This window comes from Homo sapiens, chromosome 11 (assembly GCF_000001405.40).
Source record: "Homo sapiens chromosome 11, GRCh38.p14 Primary Assembly".
Lineage (NCBI taxonomy): Eukaryota > Metazoa > Chordata > Mammalia > Primates > Hominidae > Homo > Homo sapiens.
The window spans coordinates 59,259,548-59,284,736 of NC_000011.10; the positions used below are offsets into that span (position 1 = coordinate 59,259,548).

Genomic DNA, 25,189 nt, shown 5'->3' on the forward strand with positions numbered 1-25,189 from the left:
TCAATAATCCCAGCCCAATCAAAGTACCGCTACCTGTAGTCTTCCGTCACATGATCATTACTGGGCTTGGTTTCTCTAAGCCTGTGTATGTTATCAATACTGTTTATTCCTCTGAGTTTCATTATTTCTGTCTCTTGAGGGCAAAACATTGTGGGTGATTGGTGCTGACATTGCATGGTCAGATAGAGAAGTCCAGCTGTGAATCTCTCCCCCAAAGCAGCCCCAAGGCATGGAGCCTTTGGCTGGAAGTCCATGGGCCAACCTGTTCTGTCCATAGAAGACTCCTAGGGCTCCCAGTATACTCTTAAAACCCACTCTATTTTAAAATATATATTCTATGTATGCATATATGGAAGTGAAATATCATTATTGTAACCTAAAAAGTGCTTTGAAATGTTGATGTGGGGAAGTTTATTGAGCGCAAGATGTATTTCAGCCCATGACTCACCACGAAAAAAATTGATAGGTAAAAGCTTTGCTACACATTTGACTAAGAAATCAGCCAGCTTTAAAGCTGCTTTTAATCATAAAGAGTGAACAGAGTTGGGCAGTTTTTATTAAATTGAGTCTTGGGGGTGAAACTTTCCGGTTTACTTAACTCCAGACCATGCATGTATTCTACTCCGGAAATCATGCTCATTTCCCTTGACTAGTGTTTTCCCGCCAATGGATCCTAGACCCTCCATCCTGCAGAGTCAGCGGTGTCTTTTCCCCTGACTGTGTCAGATGCTGAGCAGTCATTACCTCTGCAAATGTTTCATTTTGACAATTGACCGCAATGGAAGTCAGTACAGAGCAATGCACTGGCTGTGTCCGGGATGGGTGGACGTAGCTAGGAAGAAAGTCACACAAGCAGCCCTAGAGGCCCTCACTGGTGTCTGGACAGGCTGCATTTAATCACATGCCATGTTCAGGCTTGGAAGAGAAATTCCAAATTTCAGGGGAGCCCCTGGTCGATATATCTGGGTCTCTCCTCTTGAGCGCTCTGCCTTCCTGCCGCCCCTTGGAGTAAATAAACTTCTTTGGCTCCCGCACGAGGTGCTGTGCTCTGTCTGGGAGGTCTGAGGAGGGAACAAAGTCCCCTCCCTTCCCCTCTTCATGGATGGCCTTGAGTCTGCTGGGGTCAAAATCTGGGGAAAACGCACAATCCCGGGAACCCCACCGTGCCGAGTCGTAGGCTCCCAGGAATGGGCTTGTGCTGGGACAGCCGTTAGCAGTGTCTTGGTGCGGGCTCCCTCTCACACCTCATTTCACATTCCCAACAGCTGGTGGAGAACACAAGTAGAGGTTGTCCTTGTTTCTCAGAGGAGGGGCCAGCCATGGGGTGCTTGGTGGGGCTGTGTAGTGATGGGGAGCACAGGCTGGGAGCCAGGCCAGGCCCCATTCACATGAGGCCCAGGGCAGAGTCCAAGCTGCAAGGGAGACTTGGGCTCACTATACCGGACTATCCTCATTTTGCAGGTGGGGAAACTGAGGCTTAGGAGAGGGGAACATGGCTTGTCCAAGGCCACAGGGTGACTCTGACACAGTGAGCCTGTCCTGGCTCTTGGTGCTTCTGTCTCCACACAGATACACAGGAGCACCATTTTACAAATAAGGGAATTAAGGTTCCAGTCCTGGGAGGCTGGACGCCTGGGTTCAAGTCCCACTTGGGTACTGGTGTGCAGCATGACCTCACGTAGGCCTCCTTTCCCAGCCTTGATTCCTGCTGGGCTGAGCCCTTCTCCCTGCCTTCCCAGGCCCAGCCTCTGCTCACCTGGCTGGCTGTGGCCAGTGGGAGTGAACCACTTACAGAAGATAGCATCTCACCAGCCATGTTGCCCTGGGCAACTAATACAACTTATTGTAGCTCCATTGTACCTGTGGGGCAGGTGCAATGAGGGACAACAAGTGAAGTCAATGACAGCTGCTGCTGTCATGGTCCACCCAGCCAGAGTGTCTATTGGCAGGGCCTGGGCAGGGCTGTGGGCCCAGAAGGGAGTGAGCCAACACAGACCAGCTTCTTCCCTCATCAGCTGTGTGACTTTGGACAGGTCACTTAACTTCCTGGGACCTCCATCTTCTCCCCTGTAAAAAGCAGTGATGCCTCCTATTTAGGGTATTAGGAGGGGTGCCCTGGGTCCAATAGTCAGGTGACTTGCCCAAGGCCACCGCTGGTCAGGGCAGAGGAGGGCTGCACACCTCCCATACCTCCCCCATTTTGCTAAAGTCCAGGGGTTTCCGAGAGAATTTTTCCCTGAGAGACAAGGGCACATCTGGATTAGGACGGACAGGAGCAGTGGCCCCGCAGGTATTTGGAGATGAGGTGTGAGGCCGGCTGCCAGCACCACCATGGTGCCGTAGGCTCTGCCGGAAGAGCACTCCTACTCCAGCTGGTAATGTCCTCTTGTCAGACAGATGTGGTACTGACCAAGCTTGGCCTTGCTGCCCTGTGGTCCCCAGCCTGGAAGGGAGACCAGCCAACTTTGTCTGAAAGGGTACGGTGTATGAAGAGCAATGGGTAGGGGAGCGGGGATCCAAGGTAGAGGGTGGCTGAGCACACAGGGACAGCTGCAGAACAGCTTGCCGCTCCAGGATAGTGCTCGGGGAGAAACAGGTCTGCCTCTGGCCCCCAGCCCCCGCCTGCAGCACCAGCAGATGTGATGTGTTCTCCCCAGGGCCACGCTGGCTGGGCCTTGCCGCAGGCCCAGTAATCTCTGATCATTACGGTAGAGGTTGTAGAGACAATGAGTACAGGGGCCGCTCCTGTACAACCTGCACCCCCTCCCCAGTGACAGCGCTCCGGACACACATGGAGCCAGCTGCTCAGTGACACAGGCTCAGGGAAGCCAAAGGCCCCCACCTCCCAGGGTGCAGCTGCTGCTGGAGCTGGGCCAGGAGTGCTACCAGGAACCCTCCTTCCAAGCCCGAGCAGGTGTGGTCTTCTTGACAAAGTGGTCCTGGGGTCAGCATTTGATGAACAGTGGAAACTCTCTCTTAGCTGCCTCCCTTTCCCAGCATTTGGCCAGAGCATCTCAGCCTCTGCATCTCCTAAGCTGGACACACTCCCAGGAATCCACTGCAGGACTTCATTCATTCATTCACTCATTCATTCATTCCACACCCTCTGAGCACATACTGTGCACCAGCCCTGGAGCCAGATGAAGTCCTTACACTGCTCACAGGCTCTTGTGGGAGGAGGGCAGGTAGACAAGTGACCACACACCCAGACAGGGCCTCAAGAGAGCAGAGCAGGAGACACCTGGGAGAAGCCTGGTGGTCAGGCAGGGAGAGCTTCCTGGAGGAGGTGACGCCTGGGATGTAGAACCAGCCAGGCCGAGCAGGAAGAGGGTGTTCCTGGCACAGGGCACAGGACATAAGGTCTGGTGCCCACAGCACCACACATACAGAGACCAGTGTGACAGGGGCAGGCTCAGGAGGGGGTCCACCTCTTGTTCCGGAATCAGTTTTGTTCAGCAGAACATGGGACAGCATACAGCCCACAGATACCTCAAGATCAGTGTCCGTGAGGGAATGTAGTGAAGGCAGGTGGCTCCCAGCCCTGCCAGGGGGCTGCTGTGGTGGAGACCTGGTGGCTTCACACTGGACCTGCCAGCCCTGGCCCATGATGGCCCCCATCACTGGATGCCATGTGGCACCAGGAAAGGGAGGGCTGGAGCTTCAGACGCACTGGCATGAGTCTGCTCGCCCCTCCCTGCTGTCTCTTAGTGTTGAGGGAAACAAAGATCACACCCTGGGAGGCAGGAGGCCGGGTTCAAGTTCCTACTCAGGTACTGCCATGTGGCATGACCTCACCTGGGCCTCCTCATCCCACTGGGGTCCCCACCCTTCCAAGTCCCAGCCCCTGCTCACCTGGCTGGCTATGGCCAGTGGGGCCGAGCCACCCACAGAGGGCAGCATAGGAGAAGAAGTAGGTGGCAAAGGAGTGGCTGTCCCAGAAAAGCAGGGCTGAGCTGCTCTTGTAGAGGCTGTGCAGCCCCTCCTCATGGGCCACCATGGCCAGGCAGTGCAGCAGCCCATGGTACTTGGACACTGAACATACAGGAGACACAGGACACACGAGGGGCACAGACAAAGGCCCCGAGGCCAAGGGCCGCAACTGCTGCATCTGTGTCTGCAGGCAGACCTTAGCCACCTCAGTGGGCGAGGCCAGGAACACCTGCAGAGGAGGAGAAGGCAGGGATAAGATGGCACCTACAGCTCTGCCCACAGCCTGCGCCTGGCCTCCCACAGGCCTCGTGTTACCCATGGTGACCTTGGGGAGCCTGAGCCCTGAGATGCTGCAGGTTTGCCATTTGCTTCCTTTCCCTCTCCCTACCCATGTGTCTTGAATGCCATGCCACCTGGCATGGAGGGATCCGTTGCCCTTCGTGGATATCCACGGCACCCCATGCTGGTCAGGCAGCCGCGGGTGGCCAGAGGCTCTGAGTCAGGCTACCCAGGTCTCCACTAATCCACTTCTAACTACATGACCCGGATGGATCCCTTCATCTGTGTGGGCCTCAGTTTCCTCATCTGTAAAATGGAAATTCTATGACCTAACACGACACGGCCATTGGGAGGACAGCGGAGTCAGCAGATACAAAGCTCTGCAGCCCTGCCTGGCAGGCAGTAGACTCTGTGAATACAACCAGCAGGACTCAGCTCTGCTGCCAATGTGCTGGGGGCTTGTGTTCAGCTTATTGCAGAGTGCCCTAGTGAACACCATTTGGGGTCTTTAATGTTTAACTGGGGCATATTTCTAGAGGGAAATTTCCGGGTGAAACATACCTGAGCTATTTTGTATTGTAATAGATTTTGCCATTTTGGTGGGATTTGGAGGGGCCAAAGAGGGACAGTGAGACTTCCAAAGAATGGATCCTGACTCAGGAGCCCAGAGTGGACTTTGGGGTACTGGCCCAGTTCCAGAGAAAATCAGCAGCCCTGGCATTTCCAGAAAATGGGGCTTCTTGGCAAGTCTGAGCAAAGTCAGAAGTCCCCACATTCTCATCTGGCTCACTCAGTGCCCAGGAGGAAGCCGCTGGCCCACCTGAGCCTGTTTCTTCATCTTTAAAATGGGGCATGGGTCAGGCATGCTAGCTCATGCCTATAATGCCAGCACTTTGGGAGGCTGAGGCAGGAGAATCACTTGAGCCCAGGAGTTTGAGACCAGCCAGGGCAACATAGCAAAACCCTTGTCTCTATGAAAAATACAAAAACTAGCCAGGCATGGTAGCACATGCCTGTAGTGCCAGCTATTCAGGAAGCTGAGGTGGAAGGAACGCTTCAGCCTAGGAGGTCGAGGATGCAGTGTGCCATGATCACGCCACTGTACTCCAGTCTGAGAGACAGACAATATTTTGTCTCCAAAAATAAATAAATAAATAAAATGAGACAAGACAGCCCTGTACCCAGGACACGGGAACCTCTATGCTTTAAGCTTCGCCTGCTTGCATGTGTGCAATGTCCGGCTGGTTGATGCTGACCACACAGCCCCAGGCAGTGGGTGGGTACAGTCTCAGCCACTTTGAGAGGCGGTAGATGTGTCTCTGGGGTGAGATTGGTGTGTGGAGCGGGATGAGCCCCCAGTCAGTCCTCCCAGACATCCTGGCCTCCCTCTGAAATCCCAAGAGGTTAGGGCTCTGGGTCTGGAGTCTCTGAGCCTGTGTAGCCCCTGGGATAGACCTCCAAGCTACAAAGCCTATCACAGGGCATTCTGTGCTGCCTCTCCTCCCTGAAAACAGGGCACAAAGGCAGGGCTGCTCCCCAGCTCCAGCTCCCGCTCTACTTTTCCCACCGAGCTCATGGCATGCATCAAACCCCACCTCCCAGCCCACTGGCAGTATTTGTGGGCAACAACCGATAAGTACACCACGACTCAGGCAGAAACAGCTGATGAGAGTTCGGGGAAAGACCTGGAATTTGAGGCCCAGCTCTGCCACAGATGGCACCGTGGCAAATAGACTCAAGCCCCGTGCCTCTGTTTCCCTATCTGCAAACAAGGACAACAGCTACCTGTGGCAGGGTTAACGAGTTATTAGTCAGAAGAGACAGAGGTGAAGTCAGAGAGCTGACCATACCAGGCCAGGCCAGACCCTGCTGCTGGTGTTCCTGAGCCCCCGCCACAACCCAGCCTTGTCCCTTCAGAGTCCCCTGGACCCCAAGCCCTTTTGGGGCTGCTTTTTGCAGCACCTCCTGCTAACCACATTCCTCCCCACTTTCTAGCCCTTCCTGCCCTGCCTGGGAGGCATCTTCAACCCTGGAGTCCACTGGCTGCAAGGGCTGAGAAGGCCACTTGTCCTGGGCCTCAGGGTTCTCACCTGGACAAAATTTGACCCCATAGGAGGTCAAAATTCCAGGCAGGAGGCGCTTGAGCCAGCTTAAAGGGGAAAAGACAGGCAGCTTTGAAGAGAAGCCTCCTCAAGGCAGGCTCACCAGGATCCCCTGCCAGCTGGGCCTGGCACACAAAGAGGCTCAGTAAACACATAGGCCAGGTGCAGTGTCTCATACCTGTAATCCTAGCACTTTGGGAAGCCAAGGTAGGTGGATTGCTTTGAGGCCAGGAGTTCAAGACCAGCCTGGGCAACTTAGCAAGATCCCTGTCTCTGCAATAATAATAATAATAAATAGCCAGGCATGGTGGTGCATGCCTGTAGTCCCAGCTACTTAGAAGGCTGAGGTAGGAGGATCCTTGAACCCAGGAAGTCAAGGCTGAAGTGAGCCATGATCATGTCACAGCACTCCAGCCTGGGTGACAGAGACCATGTCTCTGGAAAAAAAAAAAAAGGAAAAGAAAAGAGGAAAGAACACACATGGACAGAGTGAACAGGAGCTGCCTGCCACCCTCCATTTGGACAGCAAGGCCCTGTGAGGGGCCTTGGAGGTGAACCCAGCTCCCGCTGGCCCTTCATCCTCCCACCATGTGGCACAGACACTGGAGGGTCAGGCAGCAGAGGAGGTCGCTGTCCGGACTCCAGAGGGCAGAGCCCGAAGCAGGGGCAGGTGGCAGAGCCCCACACAGCTGCCCCAAGAAGACATGGCCCTGCCTAATGCTGGTGAGTGCTGGGCAGGTAACCTGTCCCAACGTGCTTTGGCTCAGTCATCCTTTCGGCCAGCCACCACCCACCCTCTCCCACCCACTCCTGACTCTGGAATGCCACCTCCAGCTCACCTTACCACTCCAACTCAGTTGCACTGACTGGAGGCCTGGGAGTGCCTGCTCACTCAGCCATCCCCCACTATGATAAAGAGAACCTGAGAGAGGGCACAGCCAGGCCAGCTCATGGCTAGGCCCCCACAGGGGCCCAGAGGCTGAATTTTGTTAGCCCTGGGCAATGTAGGAAGGACCAAAGGCCTCAACCCCCGCCGTGTCCATAAATGCCAGGTTGAGCCCCTCCTGCTGGCCCCTCTATGTCCTGACCAGGTGGCCGGCACCACCCCTTTGACCTTCTGGCTCTGGAGCACCCTGCCCCCACCCCCAGGCCCCCATCAGCTCTATTTTTATCCAAGAAGCACTCGCCCTGTGTCTATTTAGATCACTCCCCATTGAGTTTCTGGTCCTCTCATAATCTAGGCCAAGCCTCCTCAGTCTTCATGGCCCCCTCGAAGGCCAAGCGGATTCTGCATGGCACCCAGCCTGCCAGGAGCCCACAGCTCACCCGAATGGTAGCCCTGGGAAGCTAAATGCTCCCAACTAATGGCAATGCAAGAAACTCACACACCATAGTGGCAACTGTGGGATTGAATGCATTGTCCACAAGAGGTCCCAGGTCCTTCACTCTCTGAGGCCCAGAGGGCACCCCCTGGCAAGGAGGATTCACTCCCACTGAGTGGCTGAGAGGCTGGAGATTAATCCAGACGACAGCAAGTGTTTATTCATAGCAAGAAAGAGACCAGTCGGGCAGAACTTTGACTTGTCAGTGCCAAACCTCAAACCGACAGCTCAGGCCCCAGCCCCTGGCCATAAAGCCACCTGACCTGTTCCTAGGTCTTCAGCAGCTATTTGGAACCTTTGCCAGCTGGGGCCAGGAGCCCCGCTGTGGGGCCATGATTTCCCCCAACCCATCCAGACAGTTGAAAAGATGACCTGGTGAAACCCCGTCTCTACTAAAAAATACAAAAAAATTAGCTGGGCGTGGTGGCAGGCGCCTGTAGTCCCAGCTACTCGGGAGGCTGAGACAGGAGAATGGTGTGAACCCAGGAGGCAGAGCTTGCAGTGAGCTGAGATCACGCCACTGCATTCCAGCCTGGGTGACAGAGCAAGACTCTGTTTCAAAAAAAAAAAGGATGCCCTTAGGAAGCCTTCAGGATTTCAGCTGATTAAGTAAATTAACATGTATGATCCACTTCCTGCAAAGGTGTGGACAGCTATGGGTGGAGAGCCAGAGCATCTTGCCCTATAACAGAAGGGCAGGCACTATCCCTGCTTCCTGCTGGCTTCGTGTGAGGTCATCTATGTGCATGGACCGGCCCCTAGAATCCTCCCCAGCCCGGTTCACAGATGACAAACCTGAGGCAAGAAGGCTCATAGGTCAATGCAGCCAGGAGGGGTCTGAGCTGAGACTTAAAAGCAAAACTGTTTGAGTTGGATCTTCCTGAATCTATCCTTGGAGACGGTCTCAACCCACAGTCCCCACAGCCACCTGAGAACCACTAAACAGGCTAGTTTAAATGCAGGTTTCATCTTCACCTGCTCCCTGGGGCTGATTCCTTAGGTCTTGGGTGGGGCCTGGAAATCTGCCTTCCTGGCTGTTTTCCAAGGCAGTGAGTCAGGCCCACAGGGACCCACCGGTCGACTCCAGCCTCAGAGGTCTAGAGAGGGGAACCTGTGGCCAAGGCCACACAGCAAGACAGACCAGAGCCTGGGTCCCCTCACTGAGGCTGGGCTCCAAGGCTGCCTGCTTGCTTGGGTTGGGAGGAGGCAAAGCTGGTGCAGCAGGGCCTGGCTCTGTACGCTACACCCGGAGGAGAACCAGGCTGTGTTCTCCTATCTCCCTGGCTCCATCTTACTCTGGTCCATTGCAGCCCTACTAGGAACTGTGTTTCTGATGTTTGTAATTCTAAAAATATGTTTTAGAAAACTGGAAATAACAAACAAACCCTCTTTTTCACCAGCACGGAGAAGGGCAGGCTGTCAGCCAGCAGGCCCATGCGCAGATCCCACCATACTCACAGCCAGGTCCTGTCCAGTGGATGGGACAAAGAAGGCCCTGCCCTGGTGGAGCTGACATTCCAGTGGGTGCTGGGTGATGAAGGCAGAGAAACAGTGGGGCTGAGGTGGGGGCTTTCCCCAGGGAGGATGTCTTAGTCCATTCTGGCTGTTGTGACAAAATAAAAACATGAACTGGGTGGCTTATAAACAGAAATTTATTCTCACAATTCTGGAGACAAAGTCCAAGATCAAGGTGCCAGCAGATTTTGTGTCTGGTAAGGGACCCACTTTCTGATTCCCTGTGTCCTCACATGGCAGAAGAGGCAAGGGGGCTAAGGTCTCTTACAAAGGCACCTGGCTGGGTGCAGTGGCTCACACCTGTAATCCTAGCACTTTGGGAGGCCAAGGCTGGAGGATCACTTGAGTCTGGGAGTTCAAGACCCAGCCTGGGCAACGTGACAAAACCTTATCTCTACAAAAACAAGTCAGAAGAGAAAGTGTGAATCGATTCCTGTCCTTGGAGTCCTGAGTGGGCTTAGATGAGGTTAGAGTCTTTCTGCTCTATTCTTCCCTTGCCCTCTGTCCCAGAGGTTGCTGAAAGCTATTGCTGCCCCAGGGCAGGTCAGGGGCCAGAGGCATAACCGTGCACCCACTGGAAGGGGACCCCACAGCTGGACCTGGCTGCTGGGGACATGGAGTAGCCTTGAGGGACCCCCAGCTGGAGGGAAAAGGAAAGCCAAGCGGCACATACTGGACAAGTGTTAGGTTTCAAAAACCCAGGGAAATCCAGATACTGCCCAAGAAAACAGGTTCTAGAACTAGGATTTTCAAATTTAGAAAATTCAAAACATCAAGTGGAAAAGAGGATGGTTTTCCTGTTTCTGGGAAACAAAGGCCTCCCAGAAAACCAGAAACACAGGTGGAAGTCACGAAAGAAAATATAGGTTTGGTGGATGTCTTTTCATCTACCTGTGAATGTTAGGGGCTGTGGAAGGAGAAGAGGAAGCAGGTCTGGACATGGCAAATATGATCAATAAATAATAGTAGAAATTTTCCCTGATCAGAAGAGGGCATGAGTTTGCACATTGAAAAGGTTGTTAGAGTTCCAGGCAGGGTTACATTGAAGAAAAAGATACACCCTTGGCATCTCCTGGTGACATTCTTGAAAGCTACAGATAAAATCAAAGAGGCTTCCCAGCAGAATAAATAGATAATTGACAAAGGAGGAAGAAAAGAAACACATTGGCAGCAGATTCCTCATTTGCAGCACTGAAAACCGGAGGACTCTGGCTGGCCTGGGCCCAGGAAGCCTCACCAGAGCATTAATACCATTCCCTGACCAGACTAAGAAATATATTTTGCAGACGAGCAAGCGAAATTCAGAGGATATTCCCGCTTGTGTTACGTATGAAGGAAATCATCAAGAAAGGCCCTAATGAAATGGCAGTTGATCAGAATAGGGACCCCAAGTTGGAAGGAGAGGGAATCCTTGTTAGTTGAGTCTCACAGTTTATAGGAAAATATCAGTGGAAGGTGGCAGGGATAGGAGCCTTCTTGGGTAGCTCTTACTGGGGTGGGTAGGGCGGAAGGAAGCAGAGAGAGTCCTAGCGGGAGGCAGGTGCTTACCCTGTTTCTATATAATGATCAGGAAGCAACCATTTGCTGTAATGATAGATTGACAATTAGAAAGAGAATAAATAGTAATTTGCCCAAACCATCAAAACTATGGAAAAAGGAGTAAAATAAACCATTCACATAGAATAAAGTGACATACAAATGTCAGATCCTTCAGTTGTTCTAACAAAATCTGAGACTGCTTTAGACTGGGTTAGAAAACAAAATCCAGCTATAGTTGTTTACAAAAAAAAAACTGAAACAGGATAGTAAGAAGAGGTTCAAAATTACAAATTGGGTCAGGTGCAGTGGCTCACACCTATAATCCCAGCACTTTGGGAGGCCAAGGTGGGTGGGTCGCCTGAGCCCAGGAGTTTTGAGATCAGTCTGAGTGACATGGCAAGACCTGTCTCTATCAAAAAAATTACAAGTAGTTAGCTGGGTGTGGTGGCTCGTGCCTGTGGTCTCAGCTACTTGGGAGGCCAAGGCAGGAAGATTGCTTATGCCCAGGAGGCGGGGGTTGCAGTGAGCCCAGATTGCACCACTGCACTCCAGCCTGGGCGACAGAGTGAGATCTTGTCTCACCAACAAAAAACAAAGCAAAACACCCAAAATTAAAAGTTTGACAAAGTATACCTGGCACATGTAACCAAAAAGAAAGAACTGGCAAAGTTAATATCTAAGCGGATTTTAGGGTACAAAGCATTAAAAGGATGAAGAGGACAGTAGGTAAAGATAAAAAGTTCAATTGGTGGTGAAGAAGAATAATAACTTCCATTAACCTTTGGGCCTCAACTCACATGATAACCAACTCTAATGGAGAATGAGAGGTGATGGCTGAGGAGGGCTCTAGACCCAGAAGGTCTAGGTTTGAATCCCTGCTCCACTCACTGATAAGCATGGTGTGGACATTAATTCTCTGTGCCCTGCCTTCCTCATCTGTAAAATGGTTTGCTAATCCTTTAACAGGCATTAAGTGGAAGAGTTAATGCAGGTTGTAATGTGACTGTTAATCAACAGATGTGAGCTATTTTAATTATACATAAACACTGCTGGCGATAAAAGGAGAACTTTAACAGATGCACACATAAAACTCTAGGGAGTGAAGTGTGGGAGGCAGAATTAGTTACTTGACCTTACTAAGCCTTAGTTTCTCCTTCTGTGAAATGGGTAAAAAGGCTGCCTTACTCACAGTGCTGGCGAGACTCCCAGAGATGCTTACCATCTGCACAGCATGGAGGACTCTGAGAAGTGTTTGCTAATTGTTCTGGAAGGTTGATCTTTGTCCTTTGAGAGGGGCTGGATTTTTGGCTGAACCTGGAATAATAAATAAACAAGCATCAATGCAAAGTCACAAGCTGTCATCGTGGGCTCGAGGTGGCTGCCACTCAGGGAAGGGAATGGAGGTATCAGCTAGTGCATCAGGACCTGGGGTGATCACTCCCCAGAAGGCCATTACCCTGTTCAATCTCCATGAACACCCTGGGGGAGGGAGATAAACCTTCACAGGTAAGGAGAGTGAGGCTCAGAGACTCTGAGTCATTTGTGAGGTCGCTGACCTGATGAGCAGCTGAGGGAAAATTCAAATCTGGGGAGGGTCTTACCCCATAGTCCAGCATCCCTGGAGCCTCTTGCCCATGCCAGGTGTTTGGAGCAATGGGACATCGCAGAAATAGTGTGTGCAACCTCCCAGGGGACAACTTCTACTGTCAGCTGACCAGACCAATCAACTGTAGAGAGCAGCAGCCTGAAGATAGGACACGAGCGTTGAGTTGGACAGATGCTGGCTTGACCTTGGGATGTCATGTGCACACACACAAACACACACATAGACACACCCACTAGATATGAGGATTACAGGAGCTCACAGGATGTGCCTGGTGCCCAGTAGGTGCTTGGTCAATGTTCCTTTCCCCTCCAGCAGCTCCTGTCTACTCTTCCTTGCCAGAACCCCATCCTATCCAGCACCCTACACTGCAAGTTTCTGAGCCACTTAGGTCACAAGTCCCTCTCTTCTCTTCCAGGTGTGACAGGTATGCTTGGGGGACACCCACTTTACACAGTCAAGATGAGTCTCCTCACTTGTTTATTTCTCAGGCACATACATTGGAGAGAGGCTCACAGAGTTGAAGGGACTGGAAGCCCACTTCTATATACAACTCCAGGTGGGCAGCTGCTTTTCTACCACGCCGGATTGAACCTTCCCCCCTGGTTTGTCCTGGCAAATCCCCGCTGGGGCTGAACCACATGTTGGGTTCATGGCCAAGTCCATCCTCAGCTTGGCCAGCTGGGACCAAGATGCTAAAATTTCCTCCCACCCAGAGCAAGGGCACCCACATTGTTCTAATGCAGGACTCCCCGGAACAGTTTCTTAAAAGAAACAGAAAAGTCAAAACTTGTCAGTATATCCATGAACATGATCTTCAGAATAGCAATCATCATTACAGAAAAACCGAGTAATTGTCTCTCAGGTGCCAGTGTGCAGCTGTGAGGCATCCGTGCCAGAAGCCTGAGGAAGAGCCCAGGAGTGTGGCCTGTTCTTGGGAACTGAGGCACTGCGGCTGGCCCCCTGTAAGCTGGTTCCTCCTCGATACACCCCACACCTCGATGAACTGGAGTTCCATGTTCTCAGACCCCCCAGAACAGAAACCAAGAAAACCCATTTCCTCCAGCTGGAAATTCCCAAATAAGTCCCTTCACCCTTTCCTTGTGTTTGGGGTTGTGTGTTCTTAAAGTGGCCCAGTTGGGACCCTTCCCTGCCATTTTCCCTGGGCCCCAGTGCAAGCTGTAAACAGCGGTCACCAGGCCAGCCCTGTGTTTGCTGGCAGCACTGAACTTGGCCCCTTTTCCCACTGAGGGAGGGCAAAGCTGACTACAAGGCAAGACACATCATCCTGAGCTGGGTTTGCGGGAGGCTTTCTGTCTCCTCTTTTTTCAGTGAACCCAGGTGTTGTCAGAGGAAGTAACTTCTTATTGTAGGGTTGGGATTTCATCCAGCACAGGTGTAAGGGCTCAGCTTTATGCATTGGCTTTGGCCTTAAAATGTTCTGTCCCTAGGCCTCATGCAGGTCTTGTCCCCTCTGCCAGCCAAATTTCTGCATGACCTAGGGCCGGTCACTGTACCTTTTGTGAGAGGAGGCAGTTAGGGGCTGGCTAGGCAGGTAGAGATGGAGAGTCTCTGGAGAGAACAACACCCACAGGGAAGTATATTCTTCCCCTGTTACGTAGCTAGCAGGTGGAGATGTGGTTAAGAACTTCCTCTTATACCAGGATGTTTGCTCAGAATGGACTGTCTCAACTTAGGCACAAGCACAATAAATCAACTAAATGTCCTTAACTTGACCCAGCTTATTATAATATCATGAACATGACATCTACGTTGCAGTTTTACCACCACCCCCACCCCCAACTGGGCTTTTCTGTAGTGCCTATGGGTAATAATTACAATGGAGTAACTGTGGACAAGAAGGCACCTGCACAGTAAGAAGTGGAACTAGGAAGGAACTTGGAAGTAGGAGGTTATGTAAGATGCAAATGAGAAAAACATCTCTAGAAAGGAGGGATAAAAACCCTTGGATGAGCTGGTCAGCAGCAACCTACTTTCAGGTCCCCTCTCTTTACTGAGAGCTGTCTTTCTGTCACTTAATAAAACTCGACTCTCCCTTACCCACCCTCCTGTATCCGCATACCTCTTTCTTCGTGGCCACGAGACAAGAACTTGGAACTTACTAAAATACAGAGTAAGGAAACTGCAACATTTCTTAGGGGCTCACCCAGGATAACCCAGACCTCTGTTAACACTGTAAAGTTCACCCAGCCCTCCTAATTGTTATATCAAAAAACCCCACAAAGGACAGTCCTAGTGGACCAGGGAAACAAACCCTAGAACGCCCACAGAAAAGGCGCCAGCCCCTGAAGCCAGTTCTCTGGGTCAATCCTATCGACCCTGTCCAGGTCCCCCCTTAAACTTGCCCCACCATAGACATTTTTGTTCTAGGTGAGTGCCAGCCTCCCTGATGCCCATACAAGAAATGCCTTGTGAATATGGCCCTATTAAGGTACAGGTTCCCTTTTCTCTACAAGACTTAAGACAAATAAAGGGAACTCTTGGTAGATTTTCAGGCAACCCTGGCAGGTATATAAAGGCCTTCCAGGATTTAACCCAAGTATTTGAACTCTCCTGGAAGGACATTATATTTCTCTTAAAGCAAACCCTGACCACTGTGGAGAAACAGCCTCCCTGCAAGTTGCAGAGAAATTTGGAAATGAGCTTTGTACCTCATATAGTGCCAGAGAAGACAAGGCACCTTATTCAATTGGAAAGACGGCGATACCATTGTAGGACCCTAAATGGGACCATGATGATAACATGGGAGAATGGAGGAGGAAACACTTTCAGGTGTGCATATTGGAGGGCTTAGGAAGGACTAGAGCTAAGCCTTTCAATTACTCAAAACTGTGATTGACCAGAGATTAGATGAGAATCCCTCTGGCTTTCTGGAAAGGCTAAGAGAGGACTTGATGAAGCATACCTCTCTATCACCTGATTCAGTAGAGAGACAACTAATCCTATATGATAAAGTTATTATTCAGGCAACACCTGATATCAGGAGGAAGCTACAAAAACAGACCATAGGACCAGGTAGCACTTTAGAAAACCACCTAAATGTGATCACCTTGGTCTTTTACAACAGCGATCAGGAGGAGGCTCAGGAGAAAGAGAGGAGACATAAGAAAACGGCAGAGGCTCTAGTAGCTGCTCTACAGGCCTCCAGACCCCAGGATCGCCTAGGTGCACCTGCTAATTGCTACAAATGTGGCAAACCAGGGCACTTCTAAGAAGAATTGCCCAGGCAGCAAGAGAAGATCACCTGGACCCTGTCCAGCCTGTGGTGGGTACCACTGGAAGGCAGGCAGAACTGTCCCGAGAGGTACAGGTTGCTGGGTCCAGAGCCAGCCTCACAATGGTCCAGCAAAACTGAAAGGTCTGAGGACTCGACTCCCCGGCTCCAACATCTCAGATTGCCATCACCATCCAGGAGCCCCAGGTGATTCTGGAGATCGAAGGGAAGAAGGTGAACTTCCTTCTCAATACCAGTGCTGCCATTTCTGTTCTCCTCTCCTCCCTTAGGACAATCGTGATGGGCATTTCAGGAAAGCCCTTAACCTGATACTTTTCCCAATCCCTTAGTTGTAGCTGGGAAGACCTCTTGTTTACTCATGGCTTTTTAGTCATGCCTGAAAGCTCTACTCCTCTGCTAGGTAGGGAAATTTTAGCTCATATGAGTACCACCATCCTTATGGCTCTAGGACAGACTCTGTAAATCCAGAAGTTTGGACAATTCAGGGAAAAATTGGCTGAGCCACCACAGCTACATCAGTCCAAATCCATTTTAAGGACCCCACTTCATTCCCTAACAAAAGACAATATCCCCTAAAGCCAGAAGCTAGGAAGGGGTTCACGCCTGTAATCCCAGCATTTTGGGAGGCCGAGGCAGGCAGATCACGTGGTCAGGAGTTCGAGACCAGCCTGACCAACATGGAGACACCCTGTCTCTACTAAAAATACAAAAAATTTGTGAGGCATGGTGGTGCGTGCGTGTAATCCCAGCTACTAAGGAGGCTGAGGCAAGAGAATTGCTTGAACCCAGGAGGCAGAGGTCGCAGTGAGCTGAGATCACACCGTTGCACTTCAGCCTGGGTGACACAGAGAGACTCTGTCTCAAAAAAAAAAAAAAAAAAAAAAGGGAAGCAGAAAAACATGAAAAGACTAGACTGGCCTAGCCTTCCAGCCTACATCTTTCTCCCATGCTGGATGCTTCCTGCCCTCAACCATCGAACTAAAAATTCTTCAGTTTTGGAACTCATACTGGCTCTCCTTGCTCCTCAGTTTGCAGATGGCCTATTGTGGGACCTTGTGATCATGTGAGTCAATACTTAATAAACTAATATATTATTTCTGTCCCTCTAGAGAATTGTGGCTAATACAGATTTTTGTACTGAGACTAGAATGGTTCTAAAGGAACAGAATATTAAGGATGGAGTTCTTTCCTTGGTTTGGGGGTTTCTGGAGTTGGCTGCTTAATATGATTAGACTCAAAAATGCTAAGGACTCCACTTCTAATATTATGGAGAACACTGATAGTCCTTGGCATGAACTGTTTAGAGAGTTATGCAAAATAAATGCATTTGACACTCCTGATTCACTGCTCATGAGAGGCTAGGAGATTAGTGACTGTGTACATAATACCTTTGACTATATGTGGAGAACCAAGGAACATAATGAAGCTGGTTGGTTGCCCCTAAGCTCAGTGGACAAAGTGATGAAAGAAAATGGTGAGCTCAGGGATTCTAACTCCCAGCTTCAAAAGCAGATACTGAGCCTTAAATCTGCTAAGATTGCCCTGAGTGAGAGTCTTATCCCCTGTAGAGAAAGAGCTAAAATTGTGGAAAAACAGACACATGCTCTTATCATGCAAGTGGCTGACCTGCAACAAAAGGTGCATGCACAACCTGGCCAGGTGTCTACTGTTAAAGTGAGGGCATTGACTGGGAAAGAATGGGACCCTGCAACTTGGAGTGGGGATGTGTGGGAGGACCCTGATGAAGCTGGGGACACTGAGTTTGTAAACTCTGATAAACCTTTCTTTGCCAGAAAAAACAGCCTCCCCACCCCTAGTAGCGGCAACATCCCCTCCCTGACCCATACTGCCATCAGACTTTACACCTTTAGAGATAAACCCTGTGCTGCTGGAGGCAACAGTGATGGCTCTCCTGAGGCGGTTGCCAGGCAAGATAATGTTGATTCTCCTCAGAAGCCACCCCCAACACCTCTGTTTGCTTCTAGACCTATAACTAGACTAAAGTCCTGGTGGGCCCCTAGAGGTGAGGTTGAGAGTGTTACCTATGAGGAGGTGCACTACACTTGAAAAGAACTGCTTGAGTTTTCTAATTTATATAAACAGAAATCTGGAGAACAGGCATGGAAATGCATATTAAAGGTGTGGGATATTAGTGGAAAGAACATAGAGATGGATTAGGCTGAATTTATTGATTTGGGCCAATTAAGTAGGACTCTGCATTTAATATTGCAGCTCAGGGAATTAGAAAAGGTTCTAATAGTTTATTTGCTTGGTTAGCTGAAATATGGATTAAAAAATGAGCAAGCTGGAAATGCCTGATGTCCCTTGGTTTAATGTAGAGAAAGGGATTCAAAGGCTTAGGGAGATTGGGATGGTGGAGTAAATTAGTCATATTAGACCTACTTATCCCAGCTGGGAGGGCCAGAAGATATGCCCTTGACCAATGCCTTGTGAAGTAGATTTGTGAGGGAAGCACCTGCATCTTTGAAAGGCCCTGTAATTGCTCTTCTCTGTATGTCAGATCTACCAGTGGGAACTGCAGTCACTCAACTACAAAATTTAAATACAATGGGAAAAATGGGATCCCTAGGTGGCAGGAGCCAAGTGGTGGCACTCAACCATCAAAGGCAAGGTGGGTGTAGCTACCATAATGGACAGCAGAGGCAAAGCAGCAATCAGAGTAGTCTGACTCATGTAGAGTTCTGGCACTGGCTAATTAATCATGGTGTTCCTAGAAGTGAAATTGATAGGAAGCCTACTGCATTCCTACTTGATTTATATAAGCAGGAATCTTCTAGGTCAAATGGAAAAAAAATACAAATTCAAATTATAAAAATAGAGAATCACAGCCCCTCAGTCAATTTCCAGACTTAAGCCAGTTTACAGACCCAGAACCCCTTGAATGAAGGGGAGGCCAGGTCCTCTTGGGGAAGGACCTTATTACACTACCGACAATTTATGCTGTTATTCTTTCTCCCATCCTTCCCCAAAGAGACCTCTGGCCTTTTACTAGGGTAACTGTGCATTACCTGTGAAAAGGAAATTATCAGACATTTCAAAGACTACTGGACACTGACTCTAAGCTGATGTTGATTCCGGGGGACCCAAAACATCATTGTAGTCCTCCAGTTAAAGTAGGGGCTTATGGAGGTCACGTAATTAATGAAATTTTAGTTCAGGCCTGACTTACAATGGGTGCAGTGGGTGCCCGGACTCATTCTGTGGTCATTTTCCCAGTGCCACAATGCATAATTGGCACAGACATATTTAGCAGCTGGCAGAACTCCCACATTGGCTCCGTGACTGGTAGGGTGAGGGCTATTTTGTGGGAAAGGCCAAATGGAAGCCATTAGAGCTGCCTCTACCTAGAAAAATAGTAAATCAAAAACAATATTGCATCCCCAGAGGGATTGTGGAGATTAGTGCCACCATCAAGGACTTGAAAGATACAGGGACGGTGATTCCCACCACATTCCCATTCAAATCTCCCATTTGGCCTGTGCAGAAGACAGATGGATCTTGCAGAATGACAGTGGGTTATCATAAGCTTAGCCAAGTGGTGACGCCAATTGCAGCTGCTGTACCAGATGTGGTTTCATTGCTTGAGCAAATTAACACATCTCCTGGTACCTGGTATGCAGCCATTGACTTGGCAAATGCCTTTTTCTCTATTCTTGTCCATAAGGCCCACCAGAAGCAATCTGTCTTCAGCTGGCAAGGCCAGCAATATACCTTTACTGTCCTACTCAAGGGTATATCAACTCTCTGGCTTTGTGTCATAATCTTATTCGGAGAGAACTTGATTGCTTTTCACTGCCACAAGATATCATACTGTTCCATTATATTGATGACATTATGCTAATTGGATCCAATGAAAAGGAAGTAGCAAACACACTGGACTTACTGATGAGACATTTGTGTGCCAGAGGATGGGAAATAAATCCAACTAAAATTCAGGGACTTTCCACCTCAGTAAAATTTCTTTTCTTTCTTTTTTTTTTTTTTGAGATGTATTCTCGCTCCATCACCCAGGCTGGAGTGCAGTGCAGTGGCATGATCTTGGCTCACTGCAACCTCTGCCTCCTGGTTTCAAGCGATTCTCTTGCCACAGCCTCCTGAGTAGCTGAGATTACAGGTGCACACCACCAAGCCTGGCTAACTTTTGTATTTTTAGTAGAGACAGGGTTTCACCATGTTGGCCAGGCTGGTCTCGAACTCCTGGCCTCAGGTGATCTGTCCACCTCAGTCTCCCAAAATGCTGGGATTACAGGCATGAGCCACTGTGCCCAGCCCTCAGTAAAATTTCTGGGGGTCCAGTGGTGTGGAGCCCGTGGAGATATTCCTTCTAAGATGAAGGATAAGTTGCTGCACTTGGCTACTCCTACAACCAAGAAAGAGGTACAAAGCCTAGTGGGACGATTTGGATTTTGGAGGCAATACATTTCTCATTTGGGTGTGTTACTCTGGCCCATTTATCAAGTGACCCAAAAGGTTGCCAGTTTTGAGTCGGGTCCCAGACAAGAGAAGGCTCTGCAACAGGTCCAGGCTGCTGTACAAGCTGCTCTGCCACTTGGGTCATATGACCCAGCAGATCTAATGGTGCTTGAGGTGTCAGTAGCAGATAGGGTTGCTGTTTGGAGGCTTTGGCAGGCCCCCATAGGTGAATCACAGCAGAGGCCTCTAGGATTTTGGAGCAAGGCCCTGCCATCTTCTGCAGATACTATTCTCCTTTGGAGAGAGTTCTTGGCCTGTTACTGGGCTTTCATGAAAACTGAACGTTTGACTGAGGGTTATCAAGTCATCATGGAACCTGAACTGCCTGTCATAAACTGGGTGCTTTCTAACCCAACTAGCCATAAAGTGGGTCATGCACAGCAGCATTCCATCATCAAATGGAAGTGGTATATATGTGATCGCGCATGAGCAGGTCCCAAGGGCACAGGTATGTTACATGAAGAAGTGGCTCAAATGCCCGTGGTCTCCACTCCTGTCACCCCGCCTTCTCTCCCCAAGCCTGAGCCGATGGCCTCATGGAGAGTTCCCTATGATCAGTTGACAGATGAAGAGAAGACTAAGGCCTGGGTTCACAAACAATATGCAGGCACCACCCAAAAGTGGAGAGCTGCAGCACTGCAGCCCCTTTCTAGGACATCCCTGAAGCAGTGAAAGGAAGTCTTCCCGGTGGGCAGAACTTCGAGCAGTGCACCAGGCTGTGCACTTTGCATAGAAGGAGAAATGGCCAGATGTGCAATTATATACTGATTCATGGACTGCAGCCAATGGTTTGGCTGGGTATTTGGGGACTTGGAAGAAGCGTGATTGGAAAAATGATGATAAAGAAATTTGGGGAAGAGGTGTGTGGATGGACCTCTCTCACTGGTCAAAAACTGTGAAGACATTTGTATCCCATGTGAGTGCTCACCAATGGGTGACCTCAGCAGAGGAGGATTTTAATAATCAAGTGGATAGGGTGACAAGTTCTGTGGACACCACTCAGCTTTTCCCCAGACACCCTTGTCATCATTCAATGGGCCCATGAACAAAGTGTCCATGGTGGTAGGGATGGAGGTTACCCATGGGCTCAGCAAGATGGACTTTCAATCATCAAGACTGTACTGGCTATGGCCACTGCTGAGTGCCCAATTTGCCAGCAGCAGAAACCAACACGGAGCTCTCGATATGGCACTAATCCTCAGAGTAATCAGCCTCAGTAACCTACCTGGTGGCAGGTTGATTATATTGGACCTCTTCCATTAAGAAAAGGGCAGAGGTTTGTCCACACTGGAATAGACACTTACTCCAGATATGGGTTTGCCTACCTTGCACACAATGCTTCTGCCAAGACTACCACCTGTGGACTCACAGAATGCCTTATTCACCATCGTGGTATTCTACACAGCATTGCCTCTGATGAAGGCACTCACATTATGGCTAAAGAAGTGTGGCAGTTGACTTGTGCTCATGGAATTCACTGGTCTTACCATGTTCCCCATTATCCTGAAGCAGCTGGATTGATAGGACGGTGGAATAGCCTTTTGAAGTCACAACTACAATGTCAACTAGGTGACAATACTTTGCAGGGCTGAGACAAAGCTCTCCAGAAGGCTGCGTATGCTCTGAATCAGCATCCAATATGTTTCTCCCACAGCCAAGATTTACGGGTCCAGGAATCAAGGGGTGAAAGTGGAAATGGCACCACTCACCACCACCCCTAGTGTTCAGTAGCAAAATTTTTACTTCCTGTTTCCACAATGTTATGTTCTGCTGGCCTAGAGGACTTAGTTCCAGAGGGAGGAAGGCTGCCACCAGCTGACACAACAATGATTCCATTAAACTGGAAGTTAAGATTGCCACCTGGACACTTTGAGCTCCTCCTACTTTTAAGTCAACAGGATAAGAAGGGAGTTACAGTGTTGGCTGGGGTGATTAACCCGGACTGTCAAGACGAAATCAGTCTACTATTCCACAATGGAGGTAAGGAAGAGTATGCATGGAATACATGAGATCCATTAGGGTCTCTCCTTAGTATTGCCATACCCTGTGATTAAGGTCAATGGAAAACTGTAACAGTCCAATCTAGGCAGAACTACAAATGGCCCAGACCCTTCAGAAATAAAGGTTTTGGTCACTCCACCAGGAAAAAATCCACAACCTGCTGAGGTGCTTGCTGAAGGCAAAGGGAATACAGAATGGGTAGTAGAAGAAAGTAGTTATCAATACCAGCTATGACCATATAATGAGCTGCAGAAATGAGGACTGTAGTTGTCATTATGATTTCCTCCTTCTTTTGTTAAAAACATGTTTGTGCATGTACACACTTCTACTAAGAAAATATCTTCATTTCATTTCAGTTTTCCTTTATCATGTGACATAAGATTTTTTGACTTCATATCAGAATTTAAGTATTGTTAACTTTATGTAATAGTATTTGGGTTGGGGATTGGTGCATTTCCAGTTGTATGAAGGATAGTTGTATTATGTTAGGTGTAGTTATGACTTTATTATTGTCCTTTTTGAAGATTATGTATGATCTTAGGAGATGTGTATGGGTTCAAGTTGACAAGTGGTGGACTTGTGATGGTTAATACTGAGTGTCGACTTGACTGGATTGAAAGATCCAAAGTATTCATCCTGTGGGTGCCTGTGAGGGTGTTGTCAAAGGAGATTAACATTTTGAGTCAGTGGGGTGGGAAAGGCAGACCCACCCTTAATATGGGTGGGCAGCATCTAATCAACTGCCAGCCCTGCTAAACGTGAAGAGATTAGGCTGGCCTAGCCTCGCAGCCTACATCTTTATCCCATGCTGGATGCTTCCTGCTCTCAAACACTGGACTCCAAGTTCTTCAGTTTTGGGACTCAGGCTGGCTTCCTTGCCCCTCAGCTTGCAGATGGCCTATTGTGGGACCTTGTGATCATGCGAGTTAATAAGAAAATCATATATATATATATATATATATATCATATATATATTTTATATATATATCATATATATATTTTATATATATCTTATATATATGATACGTATCATATAATATATATCTTATATATATGATACGTATCATATATATCTTATATATGATATATATATCTTATTAGTTCTGTCCCTCTAGAGAACTCTAATACAGCAATTAATATTTATACTAAGTATGCTTTCTTAGTTCTCCATGCCCTTAGCACTATCTGTAAAGAGAGATGCTTCCTCACAGCCAATGGGTCTCCCATTAAACACCATCAGGAAATTGACAGGCTACTATTCTCAATCTTCTTTCCATGGGAAGTGGCAGTAATACATTGTAAAGGCCACCAAAAGGGGACAGATAAAATAGCTGAGCGAAGTAAGTTGGCAGACCAAGCTAAATTGGCAGCAAGAGTGCCCCGTATTTCTGATCCACTTGAGGTCCCCCTGATCTGGAAGGGCTCCATAAAAGAAAAACCCTCAATATTCTCCTGTGGAGACATAATGGACCACCTCTCAGGGAAAGAGCTTTCAGCTCTCAGGATGGTGACAATCAGAGGATGGCAATAGGTAAAAATTTATTTAAAACGATCAAACAGATACTTAATGTTTATGAGGCTTGCCTTAAAAATAACTCCAACTAACAGATTCTTCCCCCAGAACACAAAGAATAGGATGCTATTCTATTCCAAGGAAAGACTGGCAGATGGATTTCACCCATATTCCAAGGATAAGGGACATCCAGCATCTCTTCGTATGGGTGGATACCTTCAGTAAGTGGGTAGAAGTATTCCCATGCCAGACAGAGAAAGCCTCTGAGGTAATAAAAGTACTAATCAATGAGATAATTATTTGCTTTGGACTGCCTAAGTACCTCCAGAGTGATAATGGTCTCGAGCTTACTGAACCACAGGGCAATTTCCTCCCACACTCAGCAAGGAAACACCTGAGTTAAATAAAAGAGCCATCCCTGCGATATTTAATGTCACACCGATGCCCATTGCCAGGTTACCAGATATAATTTGGAGAGTCTCATGCCATCTCTGCCTTTAGCAACCTGGTCAAGTATCTGCTGGACTTCTAGGCCACAGAAAGATGGCCACAGAGGGGTGAAGAAATAGGCTGAGGGTTCTTGGGGAGAAAGACACAGTGAGGCAGTAGGAGGTGGGGAAGAAAAGAAGACGGACTTTCACAATGGAATTAGGCACTGGGGAGAGATCAATTTCCCCACGTCAGGGAGAAGAAAGTATAGGTGGGGAAAGGGGTGGCCAGGAGCAGAAGGAAGAGGACTCAAGATGGAAAGGGAGCCGCTGTGCCTGTGGCAATACCACTTGGAGAGGTCGTTTTCATACCTTCAAGCCTTTTCCCCTGGGGTTTTGATTGTGTGGGTGCCCCATTTCTTGTCCTCTCTGCAGATGTCCAGTGAGATTTCCTCCTCCTCGTGCTGTTCTTGTGTGGCTTTCTGGGCAGTAGGGATCTTGAATTTCCTTTCTAACACTACGCCCAGCAAGGCGGGGAGCATTCCTCTGCCCTTTCTCTTGTGCCAACCTGGAAAGGTGCAGTCTAGATTTCAGTGAGAACCCTGCCAGCTGAGCCCTGTGCATCTACTACCTTGACACAGGGTGTTTTCCCACCAGAAGCCCTGCTGTGCTCTCCTGGCCCAAGTAGGGGATTCCATGCCTTCCCTTTCATGGTCTTAGCACCAGCAGCCTAGTTTCTCCCTTCCAGAGTCTCCAGGGATGGCAAATGTAAGTGGAGACAAACCTCGTCAGGTGCCCATCCCCTAAAAGGTTAATTGTGTATACGTGGCTGTGGGTGCCTTTGTGTTTTCATTCTCTTCCGCTTTTTGTTAAATTTGGTTGTCTGTGTGGTTTTATACTTGGTCAAAAGTACTCGTCTTGGTGATGCACTATTGTATGCATGAGAGAATTGGGGGAATGCGCATGTGGTACAAGAAAGAACCCCTGACCCCTTTCCTTCTCTGTGGTCCCCGGCATTAGATTGGGGGTTCTGGGAGAGGCAGGTGAATGTCCTAATGTGAATTGTTCGGTTTGTAACTGGAGTGTTTTGAAGTCTTTGGTGTTGCTCTGAGAGAGGACATCGCCACCTGGTGTTCATGAGGTGTCT

The 25,189-nt window shown here is 49.1% G+C and overlaps 1 pseudogene, besides 3 other annotated features; it reads right to left on the bottom strand.

Annotated features, from left to right (window-relative positions):
* Window positions 3,656-4,156: an enhancer, noted in NCBI's record as "H3K4me1 hESC enhancer chr11:59030676-59031176 (GRCh37/hg19 assembly coordinates)". NCBI's record gives its function as "activates a minimal SCP1, AML or CMV promoter by ChIP-STARR-seq in naive H9 embryonic stem cells {active_cell/tissue: H9 hESC(naive)}" and the evidence as "EXISTENCE:reporter gene assay evidence [ECO:0000049][PMID:30033119]".
* On the bottom strand, window positions 3,853-4,159 carry SLC25A47P1 (solute carrier family 25 member 47 pseudogene 1; annotated as a pseudogene).
* Window positions 4,157-4,657: an enhancer, noted in NCBI's record as "H3K4me1 hESC enhancer chr11:59031177-59031677 (GRCh37/hg19 assembly coordinates)". NCBI's record gives its function as "activates a minimal SCP1, AML or CMV promoter by ChIP-STARR-seq in naive H9 embryonic stem cells {active_cell/tissue: H9 hESC(naive)}" and the evidence as "EXISTENCE:reporter gene assay evidence [ECO:0000049][PMID:30033119]".
* Window positions 13,603-13,652: an enhancer, noted in NCBI's record as "active region_4754". NCBI's record gives its function as "activates an Ori minimal core promoter by ATAC-STARR-seq in GM12878 lymphoblastoid cells {active_cell/tissue: GM12878}" and the evidence as "EXISTENCE:reporter gene assay evidence [ECO:0000049][PMID:35858748]".